Here is a 20879-nt window from a genome sequence, read left to right as displayed (position 1 = left end):
TATAAAATCAAATTGTTCTGTTTTGAGACTTCCTTTGTTCACCTAACCTTGTGTCTTGGCACTTTTTCTCTCTCTTTTTTTTTTCTTTTTGAGATTTTGCTCTTGTTGCCCAGGCTGGAGTGCAATGGCACAATCTCAGCTCACTGCAACCTCCACCTCCCAGATTCAAGCGATTCTCCTGCCTCAGACTCCTGAGTAGCTGGGATTACAGGTGCCTGCCTCCATGCCCACCTAATTTTTGTATTTTTAGTAGAGACAGGGTTTCGCCATGTTGGCCAGGCTAGTCTCAAACTCCTGACCTCAGGTGATATAACCATCTTGGCCTCCCAAAGTGCTGGGATTACAGGTGTGAGCCACCGTGCCCATCCATGGCACTCTTTCCATGTTGGTCAATAGAATCTTGATGTTTTGTCGATGGCTTCATGGTATTCCATTGTATGGATGTACCACAATTTCTATTTAGCCAATTGTCTATCTTTAGGCATTCAGAATAGCTAAAGATGGACAATTGGCTAAATAGACACTGTGGTACACAATGGCTTTTTCTGTTGCAGCCATGGTTGCAGTAAACTTCCTTGTATATAAATCTCTGGGACATGAGCCAATGTTTCTTCAGAAGAGATACCTAGAAGTGAAGATGTGAGATCATTTGTCTACAGAAGGTTTCACTTTAAGTTGTAATGACTCGCCTTAATGTTGTCCAAAGGTTGTTTTTCTAAACCTTATTTGAGGGCCCACAACAGCCATAAACTTTTACTTATGTTTCACCTAGAATCATCACAGCAATCCTGTGAAAGCAAAGTATGATCCCTATTTTTCAAAAAAACTCACTGAAGTAGGAACAGACGAAAAATATCTCAATTTGTGAAAAAGCATTTACAAAAAAAAAAAAACATCTAACATCATACTTAATGGTGCCAACTGAACGTCTTCCCACTGAGATTGGGAATAAGACAAAGATGTCTGCTTTCAACATCTTCTTCAACAGGGTAGTAGAAGTTCTAGCCAGTGCAATATAGCAAGAAAAAGAAATACAAGACATACAGATTGAAAAGAAAGAAATAAAATCATCTCTATTTGCAGATAACATGATTGTCTATTTATACAATCCTAAAGAATCTAAAAAACATAAACTAAAATAAACCTCCTAGAATTAATAAGTGAATTAAGTAAGGTCACAGAATACATGATCAACACTCAAAAATCAAATGCATTTGTTTATCCTGTCAATGAACATGGGGAAACTGAAATTAAAAACAATACCATTTACAATCACTTCAAAGAAAATAAAATACTTAGGTATAAATACATATACTATGTCTCTGATGAAAATTACAAAATGCTGATGAAAAAATAAAGACCTACATAAATGAGGAGAAATACCATGTTCATAGACTGGAAGACTCATCATAGTGGAGATGTCAATTCTTCCCAAATTATCAATAGTTTAACACAATTCTTATCAAAATCCCAAAAAGATTTTGTAGACAAAGCCAAGCTTATTCTAAAATTTGTATGGGAGGCAAAAATTTTGAAAATAAAATAGCTGTGATAACTATTTTAAAAAGTAGGAGGAAGCACTCTACCTTGTGTTAAGTCTCACTATATAGCTACAGTTGCCAAGGTAGTATGATATTGGTGGAGAGATAAACCCACAAATCAATGAAACAGAATAGAGGACTCAGAAATAGACCCACAAAAATATACTCAACTGATTTTTTACCAAAAATACCAAAAGTGCAAAAGCGAGTGAATGAAGGAAGGAAACTCTTTTCAACAAGTGGTGTTGGAGCAAAAAACAAAACAAAACAAAATCTCTTGTTTTAACTTAAGTCTCATACTTTAAAACTTTATACAAAAATTAACATAGATCACAGACTTAGATGTAAACATAAAACTTCAACACTTTTAGAGAAAAATATGGGAGAAAATCTTTAGCACTTAGAGCTAAGTTAAGGAGGTCTTAGACTTAAAATCAAAAGCACAATTTATAAAAGAAAAAATTGAGGCATCTTGATACTTCATCAAAATTAAAAATGTTTGCTCTGAAAAACACCCTATTAAGAGAATGAAAAGGCTGGGCACAGTGGCTCACACCTGTAATCCCAGCATTTTGGGAGGATCACGAGAGGTCGGGAGTTCGAGACCAGCCTGACCAACATGGAGAAACCCCGTCTCTACGAAAATACAAAAAATTAGACAGGCTTGGTGGCAGATGCCTGTAATCCCAGCTACTCGGGAGGCTGAGGCAGGAGAATTGCCTGAACCCAGGAGGTGGAGGTTGCGGTGAGCCAAGATGCGCCATTGCACTCTAGCCTGGGCAACAAGAGCGAAACTCCATCTCAAAAAAAAAAAAAAAAAAAAAACAGAATGAAAAAATAAACCAGAGACTGGGAGAAAATATTGGCAAACCACATATTCATCTAACAGACTTGTATCTAGACTATATAAAGAACTCTCAAAACATAACAGTAGAAGACAAAACAATCTAATTACAAAATGGGCCAAAAACCACAAATAAATGGCTCATAGAAGAAAATGTACAGATGGCAAATAAGCATATGAAAATATGTTCAACACCATTAGCCATTAGAAAAATTCAAATTAAAACTACAATGAGTTGTTATGGTGTAACTATTAGAATGGCTAAAATTAAAAAAAGCAATAACACCAAATGCTAGTGAGGATGTAAAGAAACTGGATCACTTACACACTGCTGATGGAAATGTCAAATGGTAGCATCACCCTGGAAAATAGCTTGCCAGTTTCTTATAAAACTAAGCATGCACTTACCATTTGCACATTTGTACATTTATCTCAGAGAAATGAAAACTTAAGTTCACACGAAAACCTGTACATGAGTGTTCATAGAAGCTTTATTGGAAATATCTAAAACCTAGAAACAACCCAAATGTCCTTCAATGGTTGAATGGTTAAACATCCATACCATGGAATACTATGCAGCAATAAACAGGAATAAACTCTTAATACAGCCAACATGGATGAATCTCAAGAGAATTACACTGGGTGAAAAAAGCCAATCTCAAAAGTTACATATTGTAACCTTTTGAATTTTTATAGTATTCTTGAAATGACAATATTATAGAGATAGAGAATAATTGATCAGTGGTTTCCAGGGCTAGGGATAAGGAAGGAGAGGAGATAAGTCTATAAGAGGTAGAATGAGGGAGGCTTGTTGTGATGAAACAGTTCTCTATCTTGATTACGGTAATGGTTACATGAATCACATACACGTGATAAAACTTCATATAACTATACACACAGATGGGCACACACACACATAGAATAAGTGCATGTAAAACCTGTGAAATCTGAATAAACTCTGTGGATTGCACCAATGTTAATTTTCTGGTTTTGATGTTGTACTATAATCACACATTGGGATACTCAGTGGGAAACTGGGTGAAGGGTACATAGACCCTCCTCGTATATACATATACATACCCACACATACACACACACTCTCACACACACATACACACACACACACATATATATATTTGCAACTTCCTGTCAATCTATAGTTATTTCAAAATAAAAAGTTTAAAAAATTATAGCCATTGAATTCAAAACCCAGCTCTACCACTCTAGTTATAAGTTGAGTGACTTCTCTGAGTCTCTATCTTCATTATTGTAACAAAGATAAAAAACTAATAAATATCTTCTATTTTTTTTTGTCTGTCCACATTCATTTTCCATTCTGTAACCAATTCTAACTTTCCTTGGGGAACTATCCCTCCTCTGTTCGTAGTTGTAAGGTTTGGGTAGGGCTGCCCCCACCCCTGGCTTCATGGAGGAAGACTTGGACCAAGTATCACAGATACTGGTAGTTGAAGTCACAGATAACTGATCACTGGAACAGACCTTTGAAAAGGAGAAACTCACTTTCTTCTAGCTTTGCTGGGAGGACATGCCAGGCTAATTTTTGTATTTTCAGTAGAGATGGGGTTTCACCATGTTGGCCAGGCTGGCCTCGAACTCCTGACCTCAGGTGATACACCCGCCTTGGCCTCCTAAAGTATTGGGATTATAGGTGTGAGCCACCACGTCCGGCCCAGATCAGTCTTATCAAATGAAAACAGGCTATTTCTCCAATTTTCACATCTTTTAAAAGAAAAAAACAGAAGTCCTCTTGTGTCTCTCCCTTCCTCTGCAGACTACACCCCATTTAATTTCTTCCCTTTGCAGTAAAACTTTTCTCTGCCTCATCCAGCAATTCCACTCCTGGGTATATACCCAAGAGAATTGAAAGCAGGGTCTCAAAGAGATATTTGTGCACCCATGTTCATAGCAGCATTATTCACAATAGCCAAAAGGCAGAAGCAACCCAAGTGTCACCCATCAATAGATGAATGGATAAATAAGATGCAGTATAATCCATACAATGGAATATCATTCAGCCTTGAAAAGGAAGGAAATTCTAACACATGGTTGAACCTTGAACATATTATGCTAAGTGAAATAAGCCAAAAACAAAACGACAAATATATACTATTCCACTTACAAGAGGTACCTAGAGTAGTCAAATTCATAGCAAAAGAAAGTAGGATGATGTTTTGCCCAGGGCTGGTGGGAAATGAGGGTTCTTGTTTGATGAGTGCAGAATTTCCATTTTTCAAGAGATGAAAAATTTCTGGAGGGTGGTCGCACGACAATGTGAATGTACTTAACACCACTGAATTGTATGCTTAAAAAATGGTTAAAATGGTCGCTTTCATGTGTATTTTACCACAATTAAAAATAAAAATTTAAAAAAACACACTCCTATTTTTCTCTGACTCCAGTTTCTCTCCTTCCATTCTTCCTTCAACCCACTCCAGTCAGTGTCCACTCCCGCCCCCCAGCAAGATGGCTCTTGTCAAGGTCAACAGTGACCACATCAAATCTCCCAGGTAGCCCCAGCCCTCATTGGCCAGACCTGTCAATATGATCTAATGTGCCCTCTGCCCTGGTCCACTTCCTTCCTTGGATTCTGGAGCTCATTCTCTAGCTTTTCCTCCAGTTTCATCATAATCCACTGGCTCTTTCTTTGAAGTGTATACAGAAGGTGACACTTCTTACCTCTCTTCTAGAACTGGTCTCATCCCCTGTTCCTGCCGTTACCACCTACATTCATTCTCAACACAGCAGCTGGCATGATCCCCTTAAAACGTGCCAGGTCATGCCAAGCCCTCTGGTGGGCCTTGTCTCTTTCTGAACAGAGTTCAAGTCCATACAAAGCCCTGAACTCCTCAATGACTTCCCCTTACACAGCAGGCATCTTTCCACCTCATTATCTGTCACACTCTTCACAGATATCCGCAGAGCTAACTCCTTCACCTTAAAATGTCAATGCAATGTCACCTTTTCTGTGAGGCCTATTGTGAGCACCTGGTTTTATATTCCAGCCCATCCCCATGTCAATCATGCTTACGCCACTTTATTTTTTTGTTTTTCCATATTCCCTCATCATTTAAGGGATACATCATAACACAATTTAGAATTTTTACCTACTTAGTAGGTCTGTTTATTTTTTATCTCCTCCTGATAGAACATAAGCGGGGACTCTATTTTCTTAATTCACTGATATAGATGCAGCTCCAAGCACATGGTAGGTGTTCAATAACCACTGGTTGAATTAACTAGGAATGAATTTCCAGGCTATTTCACTACCGTAAAAAGCTCATTATTTCATTTGATCCTTGGAAGTTTTGTGAAGCCTACCAAAATATATCATTATATTCATTTTACAGATAAAGAAACGGAATCTCAAACAGACTAAGGGGGCCAGATCCAGTGGCTCATGCCTGTAATCCCAGCACTTTGGGAGGCCAAGGCAGGTGGATCACTTGAGCTCAGGAGTTCGAGACCAGCCTTGGCAACATGATGAAACCTCATCTTCACAAAAAATACAAAAATTAGCCAGGTGTGGTAGTGCATGTCTGTAGTCCCAGCTACTTGGGGGGCTGAAGTGGGAGGATCACTTGAGCCTGGGAGGTCAAGGCTGTAGTAAGCCGTGTTTACACCACTGCACTCCAGCTTGGGCAACAGAGCAAGACCCCATCTCAAAAAAAAAATCACAAAAACAAACAGAAAAAGGCTAAGGGTCCTCCTTTATTTATTTAAAATGCAGTCCTTCATTTACTCAGCAAAAATGTATTGAGTGGCATCATGGTATAGCTAGGCTTAAAACAGAGATTTGTTCATGTCTATTACTGGAGTTTTCTACTTTTAAACACCCATGCTCCCTTTTGAGAAACATGAACATTGCATGCATCCCCAGTTGAAAGGTGGTAGAGTGCAATGGCTGGGAGCAGGGGCTTTGGAGCCTGACTGTGTGGCAACCCCACCTCCCCAGCTCCCTGGCTCTGTGGCCAGGCACTTTCTTCCACAATTTCCTTTCTCATTCACTCGAAAGATGGAAATGGCAATAGCAGTCACTTCATAGCGTTGTCAAAGAATGCATGTAAAGCATTGTGTTGTTACCAGTTGATGTGTTTTCTGCCTATTCTTACCAGCCAAGAGGATTTTATCTGATTTGCTTCCTATAATTTGCATGACAAAACCAACAAGCTTTATTTTCACTTCCAAATAAATATAAAGATAATATTGGATAGGCTGTTTGAAACTCAAGAGTTTTACATGCTCACTCTGCATTGCCCTGGTGCCTCTCAGCATTCAGATTGCCAAGTGTGACCCCAAGTCAAAAGAGGGTACTGATTCGTGCCTTCTTCCTTTTGCATCTGTTCCCAACAGAGGAGGAGCTACTGATTTCCAGCTGCAAGGTTGAAATAAAACCAGCAAAAGTGCAAGCCAAGGGTTCAGTTTCCCAATAGCTGCAGCTGTCTAGCACCCGGAGCTATTTTTAAACTCCTTTTCAGAACTTCCAGTGCTTGCGATGGATCTATTTTCTTAACTGCCAAGAGATAATGCTTAAAAGGGATAGCTTGAAAATATTCCACGGCGCTCATACAAATGACTGAAATAGATAGTGTACAAGACGGCCTTTGTCTGGAGCAGCAGAGGAAAGCAAGATGAAGTCTTTCAGACCCCAGGACCATGGTGCTGCTGGATCTGCTGCTGACAACCGTGGCTTTGTGTCTTGAATGTGCACTGTGACCAGAAAAGGCAAGAAAACCAAACAGTAATTGTAAAGAACATCAGAGACCTGGCATTTAAATTGGTCATTGATTCCAGGAAACAGGAGACCCCAAAATAGCTCCCAAAGAATCCCCCTTGACTTGAAGAGTGCTGCCTTATCTGGTAAACCTGTCCAAACTGTCTAAAGTGAACTTGTCTTTTGCCCCTTTCCTGAACTCCATCTAGATTTCACTGCCTCATTTGACAGAACGACCAGTCATGCAGTCATTTGTGTTACAAATTTAAGAATCATCCCAACTCTGCTTTCTTCACCTCCCACATCCTATAAAGTCTTACTAATATTGTCTCCTATTTCTCAGATCATGCTCTTTTAATAGCCCCACAACCACTGCCCTGACTCAGTGTTTCATCATCCCTCATCTGGATTTTTGCAAGAGCATCTAAACCAATCTCCCTGTGTCTATTTTGGATCCCCGTCACAAGGATTGACACAATTTTTTTTTTTTAATTTTAAATCTTATTATGTAGCTCTTGCTTGGGCTCCTCTGGTGTTTCCTAATTGCCCTCAGCAGACAGTCCAGGCTCTTTAGTGTGACACCTCCATCACCTGTAACTGACACCTCTTCAGCCTTAGCCCTTCTTTTTTTTTTTTTTTTTTTTTTTTGAGACGGAGTCTCGCTTTTTTGCCCAGGCCGGACTGCAGTGGCGCTATCTCGGCTCACTGCAAGCTCCGCCTCCCGGGTTCACGCCATTCTCCTGCCTCAGCCTCCCGAGTAGCTGGGACTACAGGAGCCCGCCACCACGCCCAGCTAATTTTTTGTATTTTTAGTAGAGACGGGGTTTCACCGTGTTAGCCAAGATGGCCTCGATCTCCTGACCTCGTGATCCGCCCGCCTCGGCCTCCCAAAGTGCTGGGATTACAGGCGTGAGCCACGGCGCCCGGCCTCAGCCTTAGCCCTTCTATAACCCACTTCTGGTTTTATATTCCAGCAACATTGAGCTACTTGTCATTTTCCACATATCATATTATTTCCCTCTCCATGTCTTATGCTAGCTCCCTGCCTGGAACGCCATTCATCTGTATTTAAAAAACAAACAAACAAACAAACATTTTAGTGACGTATAACATGGACAGAGCAAAGTGTGTAAGTCCTACTTGTATAGCTTGATGTAATTTTACAAAAAATGACACATTCAAGTAACCACCATACAAATCAAAGATTAGAAAATTGCCAGCACTCCAGAACGTTTCCTTCTGCCTTCTCCTAGACACCACCCCCTAAAAAGTAGCCAATGTTCTGACTTCATTCCAAATTGATTAGATTTGCCTGATTTTGGACTTTATTTAAATGTTACTTAAATAACATCATACAGTATATGCTTTCTTATCTGGCTTCTTTCACTAAATATTATTTTGTAGAATTCACCCATGCTATGGCATATGGCAGTGGTTTGCTTGTTTTGTTGTCTTATAATATTCCATTGTATAAATATACCACAATTTATTTATCTAGTCTAGTGTTGATGAAAATATGAGTGGTGTCCAGGTTTTAGCTATTACAAAAGTGCTGCTATGAACATTCTTATGTGTTCTTTTTGTGAATATATGTATGCATTTCTATTGAGTAGAATTGCTAGAGCATATATATATATACATATATATACACATACACAAAACTTTAATATGGATTGCCAAATAGTTTTCCAAAGTGATTATGCCACTTTACATTCCCACTAATAATATATGAGAGTTCTAGTTGCACCACATTTTTGCCAAAACTTGAGATTGTCAGTTTTTAAAACTGTAAGCCATTTTGCTGGATTTTAAAAACTATGTCTGATAACATCTGACTTTTAATTGGAGGGTATAGACCATTTACATTTATGTAATTATTGATATAGCTGGGTTTAAGTCAACCATCTTGCTATTTGAATTTAATTTATTCCACTTAACATTGTTCCTTTTTTTCCTTTTCTTGCCTTCTTTTGGATTATTGAGTATATTTTAGTGACTGCCCTAGGTTTATATTATGCATCTTTGAATCAATACATTCCATCTTTCATCATCTTATAAAACTTAGTGTATAGTGTAAAGAGCTTATGAGTATATTTAATTTATTTTCCTTCTGTTTTTGGTGATTTTATTGTTGTCATACTTGAACATACATTATAAAATCTACACTACTTTTTTTGCCTTAAACAGTCAATTCTCTTTTTTAAAAATTAAAAATAAGAAAATTTGTCTATGTTTACTCACATATATACCATCTGTAAAGCTCTTTATTGCTTTGTATAACCAGTTTCAAGTTATCATTTTCTTTCAGCCCAAAGACTTAATATTCATTTTTCTGTGGGTAGCCTGGTGATGAATTCTCTTACCTTCTGTTTATCTAAAAATTGTTTATTTCACCTTTATTTTTGAAAAATATTTTAGGTAGATATGGATTTTTGGTTGACTTTATTTTCTTCAAAAATATAGTTCACTGTTCAGCTGAGTGCAGTGGGACACACTTGTAGTCCCAGCTACTCAGGAGGCCGCCTCGGAGGCAAGAGGATTAAGCCCAGGAGTTCAAAGCTACAGTGTGTTTTAATCACATTTGTGAATAGCCACTGCACTCCATCCTGTGCAACATAGCGAGACCCCATCTCAAAAAAAATTCATTTTCTTAAGCAAATCAACAAACAAAACAACTTATTAAAAAGTGGGCAAAGGACATGAACAGACATTTTTCAAAAGAAAACATATGCACAGCCAAGAAGCATATGAAAAAATGCACACATTACTAGTCATTACAGAAATGTAAATCAAAACCACAGTGAGATACCATCAGTGTGTAAGTCAAATGGCTACTATTAAAAAGCCAAAAAGTAACATGCTGGTGATCTTGTTGGAGAAAAGGGAATGCTTATACACTGCTGGTGGGAATGTAAATTAGTTCAGCCACTGTGGAAAGCAGTTTGTTGATTTCTCAAAGAACTTAAAACAGAACTACCATTTGACCCAGCAATCCCATTATTGGGTATATACCCAAAGGAATATAAATCATTCTACCATAAAGACACATGCACACACATGTTTATTGCAGCACTATTCACAATAGCAAAGACATGGAATCCATCTAAATGCCCATCAACAGTAGACTGGATAAAGAAAATGTACATATATGCCATGGAATACTATGCAGCTATAAAAACAATAAAATCATGTCCTTTGCAGCAACGTGGATGGAGCTGGAGGCCATTATCCTAAGGAAACTAACACAACAACAGAAAACCAAATACTGGATAAGTGAGGGCTAAACATTGAGTATGCATGGACACAAAGAAGGTAAAAATGGACACTGGGGCCAACTTGAGGCTGGAGAGTGGGAGGAGGGTGAGGATTGAAAAACTACCTATCAGGTACTATGCTTATTGCCCGCATGATGAAATACTCTGTACATGAAACCCCCATGACATGCAATTTACCTATTTAACAACCTGCACATATACTCCTGAAACTGAAAGTTTAAAAAAATATTTTTTCAGAAAATTTACATCTGTCATGCTTCCTTAGGAAGTTATTTGAAGATGTGCTCCAGCAAAATAAGAGGTAACCCGGGATCCATGAAAAAGTGTTTTCAACCCAAGAGTGTGACAAAGAGAATTTCCAGGATGACAGCCCTGGTTCAGGTCTGGAGATCAACTGCCGTATACGTACTTGAGAACAAGTATGAAAGTGTCCCTGAGGGAGGTATCCAGGGAACAAATAAAGGGGAGAGCATGGCAAAGTATTTCTGATATGATAACTGCCCAGGGAAGAAGAAGAAAATAAGAAGATGGCTTACTGCTGGAGCATTTAAACACTTCAAAGAACACTATTTATGTAGCCAACAATAGTGCTTTAACAATATTAAGAGGATGATGTGGAGAGGTGCAGATGATGGTGTAAGAATTAAATCTCATAGGAAGGAAAAGTTTAAAAATCACTAGGTAATATATGAAATTGTAAATTAAAAATCAGCAGCATGTCTTTATTCTGTTACTTTTAATCGCAATGATAGTAATAATAATAAAGTTGAAAAATTAAAAAATATTTTTAAAAGTTCATTTTAAACTATGTATCACTTTAAATATACAGTTCTATTGTCCTCTGGCTTGCATTGTTTTTAAAAGAAGTTTGGAAAATTCTTATACTTATTCCTCTGTGTGTAATATATTTTTTATTGTGCTGCTTTTTAATTTTTCTCTTTATCATTAATTTTTAGTAATTTAATTATGATAGCTTTTGAGTAGTTTTCTTTAAGTTAATCCTGCTTTGATTTTGTTTAAGTTCTTAAATTTTGGGGTTTAAGTTTTCATTAAATTTAGAACTTTTAAAATGTTAAGTCTTTTTTTTTCTTCTCCTTCCTCTTTTTCCTCTCCTTTTAAAATTCCAATTAAGTTTGTGTTAGGCCATTTAATATAGTTACACAGGTCATTGAGTCTGTTATTCTTTTTGTTTTCTTGTTTTCTTTGTTTTTGTTTTTGCTTTCATTTGATTAATTTCTATTGGTATGTCTTCAAGTTTACTAATCTTTTCTTTTTCAGTGTCTAATCTGCTGTTAATACCATTCAATGTGTTTTGTATTTCAGATGCGTTTTTTTTTTTTTTGCTTTAGAAGTTCCTTTTTGCTTTATTAAAGCCATTACTTCTGTGCCCAGCTAAATAAACATATGCATTAATGCGAACCCAATTAGTTCTTAAAAGATGCTCAAAAAAGTATCAAAATGTCAACCAAATCAATAAATGGTTTTTTTTTTTTTCTAACCATAGAAGTTACTACCAGGATTGCCAGACCTACTTTTGTGATCCTCTTCCACCTCTTAGGTGTTCTCCTGCTGGCCTTAAAAACATGACTGCTAAAATCAAGTAATGTGCCCTATGTATCCCACCACCTTTAAAAGTCAGCAGTGATTCTCCCATTTCACCTATTTCATCTTCATGTCTCTCATTTGTGAAATGGGAGTACGTGAGTCAGTTATATATATATATATATTTTTTTGAGCTGGAGTTTTGCTCTTGTTGCCCAAGCTAGGGTGCAATGGCACAATCTCGGCTCACTGCAACCTCTGCCTCCCAGGTTCAAGCGATTCTCCTGCCTCAGCCTCCCAAATAGCTGGGATTACAGGTGTCTGCCACTACACCTGGCTAATTTTTGTATTTTTAGTAGAAACGGGGTTTCACCATCTTGGCCAGGCTGGTCTTTAACTCCTGACCTCGTGATCCATCTGCCTCAGCCTCTGAAAGTGCTGGGATTACAGGTGTGAGCCACCGTGCCCGGCCATAACTTTATCTTAAACACACATACTTTGAAGCTAAACTGTCTAAGTACAGATCCTAGCTAAGCTTCTCACAGCTGTGTGACTGTGAGCAAGTTACTTAGCCTCTCTGTGAGAGTAAGAAATTAACATATATAAAACTCTTAGAGCAGTGCCTAATAGCAGAGTAACTATTAGCCATTAGTATTTTATGAGAATCAAATAAAATACAATATAAGAAATCTATAAAATACCACGTGAGTTAGTACCATGATGATTTAGTATCATTATAATTAAATCATTTCCCCTAGAGAAGAGTAGCTCAACCATGAGGCTTCTGTGGGTGCTACCAAATGACGTATCTAACACTAAAATATGAACATCCATCCTTTTACTGCTGGCTTCTTTAACTTACTCTTTTAAAAAGGTGCTTCCAGCTCTAACATTTACTCTGAATGACTCATATATGAGAACTGAGGTTTTCCCTGTAGTTCCTAAAATCTATAAACCAGAAACTCAGAGCCTTCCATGTTTCCCCAACCACAGGCTGTGGGCAGACCTGAGCCAGACACAGGAAAGGAATCTACTAGGCAGAGAGCAGAGGCCTCTAGACAGGGCTCGGCCCTTCTGCCTTGTGTCAGGGACCTCTGCTCAGGACCACAGTGGTACCATTAGGTACCATGAGAATGAGTCTCTGTGACAAGGATTTTGATCTGCTAGGCCAGAGGGGACTGGGAAGTGAGGTTGCAGAGGAGTTAGCAAGATCCGAGGGTTAGGCAAGCAAGTGCAAGGGTTCAGAGCAGAGAAGGCCTGAGGTGCAGAGGAATCAGAATGTCCACAGAATGAGGGTCCCTACCTGAAGCACCACAGAGTTGCAAAGGTGCCAGCTGCCTGGAGAGTCCAGAGGGAAAAGCAGATACTGGCAGACTGAACACCCACAGAGCATGGTGGATTGAAGAGGGACACAGGAGGGTCAGTCACAGAGTCAAGAGTTTGTTTAGGATTGGACAGAGGTGGATTCAAAGCCAAAACAAAGTTGTCAGCAGAAACAGAGGAGATTTGCTAAAACTTTAGAGGGCATAAGAACTTGAACTTGATAAAATGCAGATTATCAGGCCCAAACCCCAGAAAGCCTGCATATGGCAATCTGAATGGAGTATAAAATTCTGCATTTTTAACCACCACCCAGATTATTCTGACATGGTTCTTGGGCCACACACTTTAAGAAACCCTTAGTCTATTGGCCTAAGGATCAAGGGTGTGGCCACTTTGTAGGAAGGTCCTGCTGATGCTCATGGTCCTGAGCACCCAAGGGTAGATAATAACCAGTAGGAAGACAAAGAAGGTGAAATGAAGAAACAGCCCTTATGTACCCTTGACAGCTGCTTATCTATCCAGTGCCTTTGTGTGAATTCAAAAAAAAGTGATCCTTGTGAACAGATGAATTTGATAAAGGCACCTATTCCTCTGGGTGGAGAAGTCAGATCAAGGCTTGAGAAGAGGACAGGATGGGTTTCAGTCTCCCCTGTCTGCTTGGCTTGGCGGCCTCATAGAAACTGAGAGAGAGGAGCTGGGATTACCGTTTGAGGTCCTCCTGGTCACTGACAGTGCACACAGGAGCACTGGAGGCCGATGGGGAATGCTGGTAGGAGTGCAGGAGCATAGAGGCAAGAATTCATGTTCTGGAGTCAGTCTGGACTGAGTTCAAGTTTTGGCTCTTCTATTTCCTGGTCGTGTGACCAGGAATAAACTTCCTGACCTTTTACCAAGGCTCTGGAACTGAATCTATAAAATACAGAATACTATGGCCTGTCAGTGAGGCATGATCAAAGCCAAGCAGCCATTCAGCACTTGTCAGGAACGCTGGCAAACATTAGTAGCCTCCAACGACTACAGAAGAGTTGTCTTTCCTCCCACAACCTCACCACCAGGAGGAATGTCATAATGAAACCACATACAAGACGACATTCTCCCATTTACAAACATAATTAGTAGATAGGCACAAAACACAGCTGTTCTCTACGCGTGGCGAAGTCTCTGCTGTCGATCCTTAGGCATGCCACCAAGTGCCTTGTAAGAAAGTCCATAAAGCACATAAAACCTGGTCCAGACGTGCAAAAGGCAATGAAAGAAAGAGAGCCAGAATCCTAGTAGGCTTAAAATGAGTGGCCTGGTTATACACAACTAGGTAAAAGAGAATCTATTGTTCTTGCTATAGCTTTTCATTTTTCTCTGGTAACGTTGGTATTTAGTAATTCAATGATCGTTGTCTTAGTCCATTCAGGCGGCAGTCACAGAATACCATAGACTTGTGGCTTATAAACCACAGAATTTTATTTCTCACCCTTCTGTAGGCTGGAAGTCCAAGATCAAGTGGTCAGCAGATTTGGTGTCTGGGGAGGGCCCGTTTCCCGGCTCACAGATGGCCACCTTGTCACTGTGTCCTCACATGGTGGAAGGGATAAAGGGGCTCTCTGGAGTTTCTTTTATAAGGGCATTCATTCCACTCATGAGGGCTTCACCTTCATAACCTGATCACCTTTCAGCGTGGAGAGACACATACATTCAGTCTCTAGCAATATGTTAGATGTATCACTGGTTGGGTCTAAAGCCTTCTCCAAAAAGGTTTTGTTGTACACTGCTGTGGAAGACTTCATGACTCCCAAATAAAAGGCAACCCTAAAACTCCACCAGGAAGGTTTTGCTTAGAAAAAAAGAGCGTTGATGAGCAGTAGCTATCGATTCTTGACAGGGCCAGCCGCATGATGTGTGGGACCTAGTGCTAAATGAAACATGAGGCTTCTTGTTCAAAAAGCAGAGAAAAAAAACCCCTTTTTCTTTTCTTCCATCATCTCTCTCTCTCTCAACCCATCATAGTGTTTTTTGTTCACTATTTAACATCATTCTCCCTCAGGCATAGGGATGCTTCTGGGGTGAGGGCAGCCCCTCACAGGCACCTGGGGCCTGTCCCGTGACTTGGTCCATGGGGTGCGCATACCCTACTCAACCCTCCCCAAACCTGCTCTCAGACCTGTCCAGGGGCAGAGGGAAGCAGCAGTCACTGGATGTGGGTAGAGGAACGGGCAGCCGAGAACCCACTCCAGCCAGGCGGGGAGGCAGCAGGAAGTGGGACCCACATGAGTTGAGGCATCAAGCATGCTGCATACTTCACTGTCCCCTCAAACTTCACTATCAAAACACAAATTCAAAGACTAAGAACTTCAGAATGGCCATCGCACAGCCTTAAACCCCAAGCCTGGGGCCTCCTTCTGAGTGCAGGACCCTGTGTCCCACCTTGGTAACCCACACTGATGCTGGAACTCCGAAAACTCAGATGGAGGAAATTCACTGCTGAGTGAACCATGAGGTTACTGATTGAGTCATACCAAAGGGTTAATACTAGAGCACCTCCAACAGCGTCTTACTCCAAATTGGTGCTCAAAAATATTTCGACACTGGGATTTCGAAAGTTCAAAACTGTTGAAAATAGGCCTTAATATAGAGAACCAATGCAAAATTTACACCAAAATAATACAGTCTAGATGAGGGTTTCTCAGCCTCACCACTGTTGACATTTTGGGCCAGGTAATTCTCTGTTGTGCTAATTGTCCTATGCATTGTAGGATGTTTAGCAGTGCCCTTGGCCCCTACCCATTGTATGCCAGTAGCACATCCTTCTCCCCTCTTATGGCAACCAAAAAGTTCTCCAGATGTTGCCAAATTGCCAAATGCCCCCTGGGGCAGGGGCCGGAAAATTGTCCCTGGTTGACAACTGTTGGTATATAATTTAGCACATTAATGTTTGGTTGTTTTACTTACATTTGATAAACAAATTACGTATTATACTTTCATATTTAAAAGTTAAATTCCAATGGGCTATGTATATGGCATTTTTAATTTTTTAACTTAAAAGGTGTCTGTTCCTCAACTGCTGTGGCTTGTTTATTATCCAGACACAAGCATCTTACATCAGCCATCGACAGTAAGTGGAGGGAAGCTATCTCTGTGAGGAGGAAATGAGGAGCCCCTTTCAGAATATGCCACAAGGACCCATTGAAGGCACTGCCATAGAATCAACACTGATTGCCAAGGTCTGGAGAGAAGCAGATGTGCTCATATCTAAGGGGAAAAAAAAAAAACCAGATTCTGCAAAATTCATTTGAATGTGGCTGTGTTTTTGTGTTGCTTTGTTTTTGCTGGAGATCAATCTAAATGGGTCTTGTTTGGGCTGATATTGAAGTGGAAAAGGACGCCATCTGGGCTGGTGAGAAGCTGGAATTCAGAAGGAAGACAGGAGGTCAACAATTTGGATTTGACCACAGACACATTAGTGAACTAAAGTCTCCCCTCTTCTACTTTTGGAAACTTTCTTGGTGATCACTTCTTGTAATAAAGAAGATTAACAGAGTAGAAACTCTGTGGGGGCCCCTGTTGGTCTCCCCACTCAGGACCACCTTTTGACCAGCTATCTGACTGTCCCTGTCCCCTACTTCTAAAGACGGTGCTGCTACTTTCTTCACAGTGTTGCCCTCCAGAATAGGCAGGTGTAGGGTACAAACTGTGTGGGGTCACGGTTCTTTTGACTCCAGGTGGGACAAGCTTGGAGGTGCAATTTATACTCAGTGTCCCCATGGGGATCAGGATGAGGGGTGGGCGTCACCTGGAATCACACCCTTGCCTCCCAACTTCCCCTTCCCTCTCCTGCTTCCTCTGCTTCCTTACTCGCTTCTCCTGGGAGCACTTCCAGAAGGATACATTTGAATCCTCCGCTGAGGGCCGGCTTCTGGGAAAAAACTGGCCTAAAACATTTCCTTTTCCCCACAGGACCATGAGTGAAATGTGGCCTGTGCATGTCCACACACCAAACCCAGAAGACATGGCTTAATTTCAAGGGCATCAGTGAGACCTTAAGATTTTAAAATATCCCCCCTACACTACCCATTTTTTAGATACTCACTATTAGAGCCAGAGCCATAGAAGGTGCCTGTGTCAGATCCAAAATGGCTGCCCAGAGGAGGGGCCTGAGGTCAATCTGGAGAACCTCATCACCTGGAGTTCAGTCTACAATGTATGCTGAGAGAGGAAAACCATCCTGAGACCAGGGACCTGAGGCATAAGGGCAGGAGCCAAGAAAAGCCTTAGGCTTCAACTCAAATTGAGAAGTCTACTTAGTGGCAGAGCTGGCCTGGAAGCCTAGTCTTCTTACTCCAAGTTCAATGATGTTTTTCTGTTTTCTTTCTTTTTTTTTTTTTTTTTTTTTGAGACAGTCTTGCTCTGTCACCCTGGCTGGAGTGCAGTGATGCAACCTCAGTTCACTGCAACCTTCACTTCCTGGGTTCAAGCAATCCTCCCATCTCAGCCTCCCGAGTAGCTGGAACTAAAGACGCCTGCCCCCATGCCCGGATAATTTTTGTATTTTTAGCAGAGATGGGTTTTCACCATGTTGGCCAGGTTTGTCTTGAACCCCAGACCTCAACTGATCCACCTTGGCCTCCCAGAGTGCTGGGATTACAGGCATGAGCCACTGCACCCGGCCTCAGTGCCCTTTCTCACATGCCCATCTGCTCGCTCTTCTGTCATCTTGTTTCATTAACTCTCTTTTCACCTGATTCCCCTTATAAGTGAGATGCAAGCCTCCTTGAGAGTGAAGACAAGCCTAACCCTCACCCTTACCTTAACCCCAACCCTAACCCCATAGTGCCTAGGTACAGACTCTCAAAACACACATTTTGGTGGATGAGTGACTGACTAAGCAATGCTTTTCCTGCCTCAATGTTTCTGTAAAGAAGATATATAGGGCTGCCATTTTCAGTTACGTGGATGCTGTTCACACACCCTGCAAAATGGATAGTCCAGAGCTGTGTGGTGTTCAACATGCTCAATCCTGAATCTGGAGTGTCCTCTCTCTAAACAGTTCCACTTGATCCCGCAAGGAGTTCTGGAACATAAATTTGCAGCACTAGATCTAACAGCCTTGAGGCAAAGGAGATGGACTTTTGTTCTCCCACACAATGCCTGGTATATAGCGGCTGTCTTAAAAGGTCAGTTGCTTGGATGAGTACATCTGCAGGCTGAATGATAAAGCATGATGCAGTGAAGAAAAGGCACAGGCTTTAGTTTTTTTTGTTTTTTTTTTTCCAAGACAGAGTTTCACTCTTGTTGCCCAGGCTGGAGTGCAATTGTTCAATCTTGGCTCACTGCATCCTCTACCTCCCGGATTCAAGCAATTCTCCTGCCTCAACCTCCCAAGTAGCTGGGATTACAGGCATGCACCACCATGCCCGGCTAATTTTGTATTTTTAATAGAGACAGGGTTTCTCCATGTTGGTCAGACTGGTCTCAAACTCCCGACCTGAGGTGATCTGCCTGCCTCAGCCTCCCAAAGTGCTGGGATTACAGGCATGAGCCACAGTGCCCAGCCAGGCTTTAGGTTCTTTATAATGAGCTCCACCCTGGGCTGAGCCTTGGCTCTTCATAGCTGTGTGACTGCAGGCAAGTTTCTTACCATCTACCTACATCCACTTCACACTTAATCTTCTCTACCGCCAAGCACACATAAAAATTACTGGTGGGAAAGAAGAAACAAACAGGTGGGAACCACTCTCCAATACACACTCTTCTGTAGAAAAAGAAGAGCCATGTGGCATTGTGGTTAAAAACACTGGTTTGGAAGTCAGACCTTTGGTTTTGAATCTCGACTCTGCTTGTGCAAAAACAGACAAGATATTTAAGTAAGCTATACCCCTAATCACTCATTTATGGCAATGGAGACAGTAATAGCACCCGCCTCATGGATGTTCAGAGAGCACAAGATCATACATGCATAGTGCTCAGCACAGGATTGGCACAAAATAGGTAAATGTTGAATGAATAAATGAATGAGTAAGCAAAAGGATGACCTGAATCGGCAATGACCAGGAGGGTCATGGGCTGTACATCCCAAAATATGCAAATTCAACAAATGGTTGGCAACTAACTTCCATTGCTAAGCCCAGCCAGGAGCTAGAGAATGCTGTTTATGATCTAAGTCACTGTCCATTTCTCTCTTCATGTGTTATGTGGTTCCAGAGGAGGTGGAGAAGGGAAGAGGCCCTGGTGAGTAATCACAGGATGACAGAATATGACACAACATGGAAATTTGCTTTCTGTGTCCCTGTTCAAGCCAACTCTTGGAAACACATGCTCTTTCAAACCTGACAGCCACATCGAACTTCCATCTGAAGCACCTGCCATGTCAAGAAAACCATCAAAGAGATAAGATAATAAATATTAACATTTGAAACCAGTGTAGTCAATGTAACAAACCCAGAGAGCCAATTAGTTTGATTGTTGGTGAATCAAAAAGAGGACCTGGCTAGGAGAAAAGTTGAGGCTTGAGCTTTGGTGGGCAGGATGGGGAGGACAGCTTAAGAATTGATCCGGGCACCAACAAGAGCATAAAATCATCCCAAAGAAAGGGTATGAGAGCTATTTTCAAATGGCAGAAATATTCTCATGTGGAAGAGGAAATCAAGTAATTTGAGGGCAACTCTACTGAAGTGGAAGTTACAAGGAGGTTGATTTTGACTCAAAATAACAAGACTTGCTGGCAATTAAAGTGATCACTTTTAAAAACCTATTAGGCACCAGGAACTGAACTGGATGTTTTGCAAGTATCACCTAATTTAACTCTTGCCAGAGCTGTATAAGACACACATTGTTAGGCCTCAATTTTCAGATGAGGCAATAGAAACTTGAAGACGTTAGGGTGAATGCTCAAGATGGCAAGTAGAGATGACATTTAAATTCGAGTCTGCCTGACTCCAAAGGCTGCCACTGTGGCTGTGCATTTTATGCATTGCACAGAGACATTTGGGCTGCTTTTGCCAGAAGGAAGCATAATTTATTCTTTTTAGAAAGATGCTTTCCTTTAGCCAAACCATGCAGTGGGGTTACATCTACCTTGAAAAAGCACCTTTTTTTGTTATTGTTATTTACACAAAAACCCCATGTTCGATAACTGTCTCTGGGTTTACACTCCTTCTGATAGAAAGAATTCCAGCTGTGGAGTGAACTGCCACATACGATGAGAACAGTTCAACCCCAGAAAGATTTTATAGACTTGGGAAGATAACTGCCTCTTATCCTTATTATAATACAGTTATTTGTGTCATTCTCCAACCTAGTATTCTTTAATGCTTTGTGTCTTTCCAAGGCCCTGCATGATTGACCCTTACTTACCCCCCTCCATTCTTCTAGAGCACTTACTTTTGCCATATAGGACTTCTCTGTTTCTGCTTCAGAGACTGTATTTATAAGTTCCTTTATTTCCTGTCTTCCAAACAGACAGAGTTATATCCCCTGAATAACTCTTACTGATCCTTCAGGTCTGAGCTCTTAAATATATTTCTTCAGAGATGCCTTTGCTGACTTGCTGGTCCAGGTTGAGTACCCCATGGATGGGTCAGGCTCCAGGCAGGACTATAGAAACTACACTAGGTATTTCAGCCAGAAGGAAT

At 40.7% G+C, this 20879-nt stretch overlaps 2 non-coding genes across 2 annotated transcripts; one reads left to right on the top strand and one right to left on the bottom strand.

Annotated features, from left to right (window-relative positions):
• Nucleotides 1-447: 447 nt before the first annotated feature.
• On the top strand, nt 448-528 carry MIR4662B (microRNA 4662b). The gene has a single exon (NR_039809.1). It is a non-coding gene; the product is annotated as a microRNA 4662b (primary transcript).
• On the bottom strand, nt 455-521 carry MIR4662A (microRNA 4662a). Its single transcript, NR_039806.1, has one exon. It is a non-coding gene; the product is annotated as a microRNA 4662a (primary transcript).
• Nucleotides 529-20879: the final 20351 nt, after the last annotated feature.

The sequence above is a fragment of the Homo sapiens genome, chromosome 8 (assembly GCF_000001405.40).
Source record: "Homo sapiens chromosome 8, GRCh38.p14 Primary Assembly".
Taxonomy (NCBI): domain Eukaryota; kingdom Metazoa; phylum Chordata; class Mammalia; order Primates; family Hominidae; genus Homo; species Homo sapiens.
Note: the sequence above shows the minus strand (reverse complement) of the source record. Positions and strands in the feature narration are given on the sequence as shown.